Source organism: Homo sapiens, chromosome 10 (assembly GCF_000001405.40).
Source record: "Homo sapiens chromosome 10, GRCh38.p14 Primary Assembly".
NCBI classification, from domain to species: Eukaryota; Metazoa; Chordata; class Mammalia; order Primates; family Hominidae; genus Homo; species Homo sapiens.
The window spans coordinates 75,200,421-75,209,993 of record NC_000010.11 but is presented as its reverse complement, the minus strand read 5'-3'; the positions used below and the strand labels follow the sequence as shown (position 1 = coordinate 75,209,993).

At 48.7% G+C, this 9,573-nt stretch overlaps 2 annotated features.

Moving 5' to 3' along the window:
• Positions 1,729-2,023: a silencer, noted in NCBI's record as "tiled region #10124; K562 Repressive non-DNase unmatched - State 6:EnhF". NCBI's record gives its function as "represses a minimal TATA promoter and a strong SV40 promoter by Sharpr-MPRA in K562 cells {active_cell/tissue: K562}" and the evidence as "EXISTENCE:reporter gene assay evidence [ECO:0000049][PMID:27701403]".
• Positions 2,188-2,937: an enhancer, noted in NCBI's record as "OCT4-NANOG-H3K4me1 hESC enhancer chr10:76966815-76967564 (GRCh37/hg19 assembly coordinates)". NCBI's record gives its function as "activates a minimal SCP1, AML or CMV promoter by ChIP-STARR-seq in naive H9 embryonic stem cells {active_cell/tissue: H9 hESC(naive)}" and the evidence as "EXISTENCE:reporter gene assay evidence [ECO:0000049][PMID:30033119]".

Genomic DNA, 9,573 nt, shown 5'->3' with positions numbered 1-9,573 from the left:
CTCTGGATTATGGGCCTGGAGAAAATGTGGAATCATGCTGAGCAGGCGTTAGAATGCCGCACCCGAGTTCCCCGGGTGTGCAGGAAGGGTGACAGAGCTATTAGATAAAATGTATATGGGAGACCGTTAGTTTAGACTGACCTCCTGCATTAGGCCCATCAGACCAAACCAAAATGGGGTTACTCATGCTGAAGTTTCACACTACCACGCCAAAGCTAGGATCTTTATCTGACCTTCCAAGAAATCAGGAGAGAAACAGATGCTAGCCAGATCCCCAAACAGGCTGGGCGCGGTGGCTCACACCTGTAATACCAGCACTTTTGGATGCCGAGGTGGGCGGATCGCCTGAGCTCAGGAGTTCCGGACCAGCCTAGGCATAGTAATACCCTGCCTCTACCAAAAAAAAAAAAAAAAAAAAAAAAAATAGCCGGGCGTGGTGGCTGGCGCCTGTAGTCCCAGCTAATTGGGAGGCTGAGGAGGGAGGATCGCTTGAGCCTGGGAGGTTGAGGCTGTAGTAAGCTTAGATGGTGCCACTACTGCACTCCAGCCTGCCCGCTGGAGTAAGACCCTGTCTCAAAACAAAAATCCCCAAACAGGTCAGTTTTAGCTGGCATGAAGAAGTCCCGTGTTCTTTAACCTTTACAAGAAAAGTAACTTTCTACCAACTAATCCACTTTTTGTTTCTGCTTTCCTCGGTCCTTTTCTGTCTGTAATACCAACTTCCTCTTCTCATTGGAACATTCATTCCATTTTACAGAATGAAGCGTTGCCCAATTGTAGAATTGGAACTAAAAGCCAGTTAAGATGTTTAAACTAAATTCTTTGTAATTTTTTCTTTTAACAGAGCCAAAGGAAAAAGAAAAAATGAGCAGTCTAATGAAATAGAAATGGGTTCAACTGGAACTCCCAAAGCAGTCATCTATCCAATAATGTCGCCGGTAGACCTCAGTGGTTTTTTTGGGTTTTCTTCTTTTTTTTTTGAGACGGAGTCTCGCTCTGTCGCCCAGACTGGAGTGCAGTGGCGCGATCTCGGCTCACTGCAATCTCCACCTTCCGGGTTCACGCCATTCTCCTGCCTCAGCCTCCCGAGTAGCTGAGACCACAGGTGCCTGCCACCACGCCCGGCTAATTTTTTGTATTTTTAGTAGAGTCGGGGTTTCACCATGTTAGCCAGGATGGTCTCGATCTCCTGACCTCGTGATCTGCCAGTCTCGGCCTCCCAAAGTGCTGGGATTACAGGTGTGAGCCACCGCGCTCGGCCTACCTCATTTTTTTAATCTATAAAATGACAAATGAAACGAAGTGATCTTTAATAGCCATCAGCCATAGTCTCTGAGCAAAGCCTTTTCCCCCTTGACTTTCTCTGGCTCTGAAAGCCATGTCTGCTCAAATGCTCTCAACGTTCTACCCTCCTCCTAAACCAGAAAAGGATAGGCTTCCACAGTTCAAAACCCAGATGAAAGCTGCAGCCTGGAAGATTTCCCTCCCATGAGCAAGCCCAGCCAGCTGTCTTGCCTGGTCATGACTGGGCTTACTCATGTTGCAAAAGGTTAGCAGAATTTACTTCTAAGACATCAGGCACCAGAAGCCCTCATTCATTCCTTCATTCGAGCTCAGACAGGTCGGTTTGCAGTCATCCTGGCTCTTCTGGGAAATAGTCTGGTATGTTTGATGTTATTGTGAGGCTAACAACAAAGACCGGCATTTCCATCCCAACTGCACCACAGCACCCTACCTCCCCGAAACACCCAGTCTGATAAATGAGTCACCTCCACTACCTGCAGCAGGGCTTATTCACAATGTGAATTTTCTGTAGCAATTTGTAGCCCCCTGCACTTCACTTTCTCTGTGGCTTCACCTTCTGCAAACCCAAGGAATGTACACAATACCTAATGACCAGGGGAAGAAGATCTGTGGCTAAACAGGGGAATAATGGCAGTTTTTTCCAGAGCTGAATTTAGTAAATAAATATGAGTGCTTACATCCAAAGTCCTTTAGACCAAAGCGGCATTAGTAGGTAGTTACTACCTACCACAAGCAACTACTTTGTGTCATCCACAGGGTAAGCAAAGTCCACTGAGACACAGTCCCTACTCTCAAGGCACTTAACAGTCAAGTGTGTGTAAAGATGTCAAGAACAGGGGAGGGTCCAAAAGTTTACCCTACTTGCAAACTATCAAGTTAGTCTGCCATAGTTTCAGAGGCTCACAGATGCTAGCAGAAGACATGAGACGTATGGGTCAAGGACAAAAGACTCTCTTACTTGTGGCCCAGCAGGCAGTGTAAGCTTCGTGTTTTGCCTCAATTCCCCCTGTCCTCTGTGTCCCTCAAGGATGATGCCAGAGCAGCTTAGGTGGATGCTGTGCACAGCATGCATTCGTGTCACAGCCAAGGAACCCTAAGCTTACAAAACCACGTGTCTTAGAAGGAGCTGCTAACAAATCTGCCCAACCTTCATACTGTGAAAGGAAAATATCTTGGGCCCCCAAGATCATTAAGCTAAAGGGAAAAGTCAAGCTGGGAACTGCTTAGGGCAAACCTGCCTCCCATTCTGTTCAAAGTCATCCTTCCGCTCACTGAGATAAATGCGTATCTGATTGCCTCCTTTGGAGAGGCTAATCAGAAACTCATTGCAACCATTTGTCTCTCACCTACTTGTGACCTGGAAGCCCTCTCCCCACTTCGAGTTGTCCCGCCCTTCCTGACCACTTTAAGTTGTCCTGCCTTTCTTGACCGAACCAATGTTTATTTTACATATGTTGATTGATGTCTTACGTTTCTCTAAAATGTATAAAACCAAGCTGTGCTCTGACCACCTTGGTTACATGTCGTCAAGACCTCCTGAGGCTGTGTCAAGGCTAAGTGTCCTCGACCTCGGCAAAATAAACTTTCTTTTTTTTCTCTTTTTGAGACTGAGTTTCGCTCTTACCACCCAGGCTGGAGTGCAATGGTGTGATCTCTGCTCACTGCAACCTCTGCCTCCTGGATTCAAGCGATTCTTCAGCCTCAGCCTCCTGAGTAGCTGGGATTACAGGAGCGCCACCACCACGCCCGGCTAATTTTTGTAATTTTACCACACTAAAGAGATGGCTGCTTTACTGTGTTGGCCAGGCTGCTCTCAAACTCCTGACCTCAGGTGATCCGCCCACCTCGGTCTCCCGAAGTGCTAGGATTACAGGCGTGAGCCACGGCGCCAGGTTTTTTTTTTTTTGCTTTTTGTTTTTTTTTTTTGAGACAGAGGAGATAGAGTTTCGCTCTTTCGCCCACACTGCCACACTGGAGTGAAGTGGCACAATCTCAGCTCAATGCAACCTCCGTCTCCCAGGTTCAAGCGATTCTCCTGCTTCAGCCTCCCAAGTAGCTGGGATTACAGACACCTGCCATCACACCCGGCTGATTTCTGTATTTTTAGTAGAGATGGGGTTTCACCATGTTGGCCAGGCTGCTCTCGAACTCCTGACCTCAGGTGATCCACCCACATTGGCCTCCCAAAGTTCTAGGATTATAAGCATGAGCTACTATGCCTGACCTGGCAAAATAAACTTTCTAAATTCTCAAATTTAAATTCTAAATTCTGAAATTTCTCAAATTTTCGGGGTTCACAATCCCTGAGGGGGAGATTATTATACTGCTCAGGAAATAAAATCTTTTCTCTGCCCCAGAGAGAGATACTATCTTCCAAGGCTGTTTGCTAAGTAAACATCCTTGGAAAGATAGTCTGAGACAAAAGCTGCCATAAGATGGGTAGAAACACCATGGAGAATTGGCCCCAACAAAGGATGGGGTATGGGAAAGACAAGCTCAAGATGTCACAAGTACAGTATTTTTGTGGGGAGCAGGGTCTTGCTGTGTTGCCCAGGCTGGTCTTGAACTCCTGACGTCAAGCAATCCTCCCATTTCAGCCTCCCAAGTAGCTGGATCACAAGTGTGAGCCACCACACTCGGCTCCTGCAAGTACAGTTCTAAGATGTAAATACAGAGAACCTTGAGCACAGTCAGATGGAGGAGCTACTTGCACTAAAGTTTGAAAGCAGGACTTACCAAAATTAGAAAGCCAACAGGTGGAGGCTGGGAAGGCAAAATTCTAGAAAGAGGATGTGCAAAATCATAGGAGTGCTTGAAGTGGCAAGAATTGTTTGGAAACCACATATGATTTTTTTGCTTTTGATTTGTTTTTGTTTTTGTTTGAGACACAGTCCCGCTCTGTCACCCAGGCTGGAGTACAGTGGCACAATCTTGGCTCACTGCAACCTCCGCCTCCCGAGTTCAAGTGATTCTCCCGCCTCAGCTTCCTGAGTAGCTGGGACTACAGGCACGTGCCACCATACCCGGCTAATTTTTGTATTTTTAGTAGAGACAGGGTTTCGCCATATTGGCCAGGCTGGTCTCAAACTCCTGACCTCAGGTGATCTGCCTGCCTCGGCCTCCCAAAGTGCTGAGATTACAGGTGTGAGCTACTGCGCCCAGCCAGTTTTTTGTTTGTTTGTTTTTGAAACAGGGTCTCCCTGCATTGCCCAGGCTGTTCTCAAACTCCCAAGCGATCCTCCTGCCTCAGCCTCATGAGTAGCTGGGACTACAGGTGTGTACCACAGGGCCTGGTGGAAACCACAAGTAATTAAGTAAAGCTGGAACAAGCTATCAAAAAAGTTGAGAAATTAGACTAAAGATGTTGGCTGGAGCCAAATGCTGAAGGTCCTGAAAGCAGCAAGTGAGGACAAGTCTAGGGTGGCTGGGAGCAATATTTCTGATTTAAGCAATGGGGAGGACAAAGGTTCCACCCACTGTGGGAAAGTCTGCAGGAAGAGGGGCAGGTGTAATGGTGAAGACCATGATACCATTTTGGATGAATATGAGGAGCCAGGTCTACATCGCAATGCAGTTGTCCAATAGGCAGTTAGGAAGTTTTGGAGAAAGGTCTGGCTCAGAAGCATGGGTGTAAAAGTTAGTTTTAATTATGACTAACCATGGGTGTGGTTTAAGTCAGTGAGCTATGGGATAGGAATAAAGACACTAGCAGCCTAAAGGACGAGGCCATGGGGAGCATTAGTCTTTTGTTGTTGTTGTTGTTTTGAGACAGAGTCTCACTCTGTCACCCAGGCTGGAATGCAATGGCGTTGTCTTGGCTCACTGCAACCTCTGCCTCAGCCTCCGGAGTAACTGGGACTACAGGCATGTGCCACCATACCTGGCTAATTTTTTTGTATTTTTAGTAGAGACAGGGTTTCACTATGTTCACCAGGCTGGTCTCGAACTCCTGACCTCGTGATCCACCTGCCTTGGCCTCCTGAAGTGCTGGGATTACAGGTGTGAGCCACAGTGCCCAGCCTGGAGCATTAGTCTTTTAGGGGCAAGCAGCAGAGAAGGAGCTAATGAAGAGAACTGACAAAGACTAGCCAGGAGGATAAAAAGAGAACTCAAGAGGAGCATTTTCGTGGAAGCCAGAGGAAGAGAGCACTGGGTAGAGAAGGGAGTGCTCAACAGTGTCACAAACTGAGGAGAGGTCAAGTGAGGCAAGGGCAGAGAGCATTAGGGCCAGACACAGTGGCTCACACCAATAATCCCAGCACTTTGGGAGGCCAAGGCAGGAGGATCACTTGAGTCCAGGAGTTTGAGACCAGCATGGGCAACATGGCAAGATCTCATTTCTGCAAAAAATGAAAATTAGCTAGGCACAGTGGTACGTGCCTGTAGTCCCAGCTACTCGGGAGGTTAAGGCTGGGAGGATCGCTTGAGCCCAGGAGTTTGAGGTTACAGTGAGCTATGATTGTGCCATTGCACTCCAGCCTGGGCGAGAGATCAAAACCTTGTCTTTAATAATAATAATAAATAAAAGAAATAGCAGCATTAGCTGCGATTACTGTGTAACAAATTGCCCCCAAATTTAATGGCCTAAAACAAGCATTTTATTATCTGAAAGTTTCTGTGGGTCAAAAATTAAGGACTGGCTTATATGGGTGGTTCTGGCTTGGGGCCCCTCAGGGGGTTGCAGTTGAGATGCTAGCTGGGGCTGCAATCATCTGAAGGGTTAACGGCACTCAAGGACCTGCTTTCAGGATGGCACCCTCATGTGGCTTTTGGCAGGAGGCCTTAGTTCCTTGCCATGTGAGCTTCTCCATGTGGCCGCCTGGGTGTCCTTGTGACATGGCCGCTGGCTTCTCTCAGAGCAAGTGATCCGAGAGAGACACTGAAGCCACAATGTCTTATATGATCCAGCCTCAGAAATCGCACTATCATTTCTGCCTTATTCTGTTTGTTAGAAGTGAGTTAGTAAGACCAGATCACACTCAAGAGGGGGAAGTTAGGCTCTAGCTTTTGAAAGGAGTATCAAAAAATTTGTGGATATTCTTTAAATCCCCACAGCCTTTTTTTTTTTTTTTTTTGAGTTGGAGTCTCGCCCTGTTGCCCAGCCTGGAGTGCAGTGGCACGATCTCACTGCAACCTCTGCCTCCTGGGTTCAAGCAATTCTCCGCCTCAGCCTCTTGAGTAGCTGGGATTACAGGCGTCGGCCACCACGCCCGACTAATTTTTTGTATTTTTAGTAGAGACAGGGTTTCACCATCTTGGCCAGGCTCGTCTTGAACTCCTGACCTCGTGATCCAACCACCTCAGCCTCCCAAAGTGCTGGGATTACAGGAGTGAGCCACTGCACCAGGCCCCCACAGCCTATCTTTTGAAAGGAGTGTCAATTTGTGGATATTCTTTAAATCCTCACAGCCTATGCCATGGTCACATTTACTTTCATTCCTCCCACATGGAAAACATACTCACTCCCTCCCAAAACCTCCCCGAGATCCCAGCCTTCACGGTAGCCACATGAGGCTCCTTGGGTGTAGTTCCTTGAGTACAGCAGTTCCTCTCCATCTGAAGACCTGTGAACTAAAGAGATATCAACACACAATGGTGGGATAGGCACAGCATAACTGCTACAGACACCCCTGTTCAAAAAGGGGGAAACAGGAGGTACCCAGAAGTCACAGGTCCACAGAGATTCTGAAATCCAGCCAGGCAAACTTGGAGGTTCCCTTATTAGGACTCAGTCCTCCTCCTGCCTGTGCCAGATGAGGTCATGCAGGGAGAGCCAGCCCTAGACACACACTCCTCTTCCTGCCCCTGGCCTCTGTCCCACACTGGGAGGGGCACACCCTAGCCTGCACATCCAAGCTCTCTCCCCATCACATACATACCCTGCTTGACCACCCCAACGGCTTAGGGGTATGTCACTGGCAGTTCAGTCCATCTTCTGAAGGAGGGACTCTGAGGGAAAGTCCATGCAGGCCCCAGAAGCAGGCTCAGGATGGCTTCAAATAGGAATTCTGAGGTCTCCTGTATGCAGAGTTTGGTCTAGATATGGAGAGGGTGGGCATGGGCTCTGGTGGGCATGTTCACTGGGCCCTGCAGGCTCCTCACCTCATAGGAATGGGCACAACCTGAGAAGGGTTCTGGTGGGGCCTTCCAAAGCATGAGACCCAGGGGGGCCCTCCAAAGCCTGAGACTCAAGGCAGGGGCCCTCCAAAACATGAGACCCAGGGGGGGCCCTCCAAAACATGAGGGCCAGGGGAGGGGCCCCTCTTCCTAGGTTGAAGGGCAATACTGGGGCTAGGGACTGAGAATCTTCCTGTGATTGAAACATGTTAGGATGAAATGAGAGAGAGAGAGAGAGAGGACTGCAAGCTGGGGTTATGGTTAGAATGTGAGACACAGGGAGGCAAGATTTCGCCATGGCACATTCAAGGTGGTGAGCAGCTGTAGAAGCGTGGAGTGAAGTGAAGCCCAGTGGAGCTGAGGTGATCAGGGCTGTAGCTGAGGCTAAGATGTTGAAGCTATGCACCCCCCCCACACACACCCAGCAAACAGTGGTGGGGTCGGCACAGGTTATTGACAGAGGTACTGATGTCACCAGGGTGTTGCCAGGATAAGAGATGAGGAGGACAACGATGAGTCAGGTACCAAAGTCTTCAGGGGACATGGAGGTGTGACCAGGAAGCTGGCCATAAAGGATGGCAGGAAGTAAAGGATGGCAGAGCTGATGGCATGAACCTCGAAGCAGGTGATCTTATAGGAGGTGACGAGCGAAGTAAGTGGCCCCCTCCCAGCCCCAGTCCAGTCGTGGGGTGTGGAAGGGAGTCTTCCCTGGGCTCCAGTATCCACGGGGAAAGGTGAGGAGAGTGAAAGAGCATTCAGTGGTGCAGCTGAGAACTTAGGGTAGTTTGTTAACAACAGCACAGGCTTCTAGAGGGGCACAATGGGATGGGGTGAGGAGGGCAACAGTAGAAGTTCAAACCAAGGAGAAGGAAGTGCAGACAAGACTGGGATAAAACTAGGAAGAGCAGAAATGAACAGATGAACTCATATTTTGGGGAGTTAGGGCCAACGGCCAGAGGTGCGGGGCATGCTAGGGTTCAGTGGGCTCAAAAGTCAAGCCAGTGCCTGTGAAAATCCATTAAATCATGCATAAAGGACAGTGTGCCTGGTTTTGGGTATACAACCTCGGGCTGCCATTTTTAGCCACACTAAAACATGAAAACCACTGATCTAGACTGTCTATCAAATCCTAGGAGTGACTGGGAGAAAGGAGGAGCATTCTGCGGCTTTCCAGATCACATTCAGGGTTAATCTGCCCGATTTAGTCTTTAATATACAATGTGATTATTAAAGCAGATAATGGAGTTATAGCTCAACAGTCAGGACACAAGTTAAGTACAAGCTTCATGCAGCTCCTCTCAACTGATATCCCAGTTTAACCATTCAGAGTTGATATAAAGTTTGATATAAAAGGACTTTCCCGCCGGGTGCGGTGGCTCACGCCTGTAATACCAGCACTTTGGGAAGCCGAGGTGGGCAGATCACTTGAGGTCAGGGGTTCGAGAGCAGTCTGACCAACATGGTGAAACCCCATCTCTACTGAAAATACAAAAATTAGCTGGGCGTGGTGGCGCATGCCTGTAATCCCAGCTACTTGGGAGGCTGAGGCAGGAGAATTGCTTGAACCCAGGAGGTGGAGGTTGATCCTCCAAGATCGTGAGCCAAGTGAGCCAAGATCATGCCACTGCACTCCAGCCTGGGCAACAAGAGCCAGACTCGGTCTCAATTAAAAAAGAAAAAAAAAAAAAGGGACTTTCCAGCCAGGCTCAGTGGCTCATGCCTGTAATTCCAAAACTTTGGGATGCTGAGGCGGGCAGATCACTTGACCTCAGGAGTTTGAGGCCAGCCTGGGCAACATGGCAAAACTCCATCTCTACCAAAAAATACAAAATAATTAGCTGGGTGTGGTGGCACACACCTGTGCTCCCAGGTACTTGGGAGGCTGAGGTGGGAGGGTCGCTTGAGCCCAGGAGGCGAAGGTTGCAGTGAGCTGAGGTCGCGCCACTGCACTCCAGCCTGGGTGACAGAGTGAGACCCTGTCTCAAAAAAGAGAAAAAAAAAGGCTTTCCTATTCATTGTTCAGTCAGTAACCTGTGGCCTTGCTCAGAGTTCTGGTTGGAACACTGGTGAAACACTGTTTTGTTTCTTTAAAAAGCTCAGCACAGCTGGGCGCAGTGGCTCACGCCTATAATCCCAGCACTCTGGGAGGCC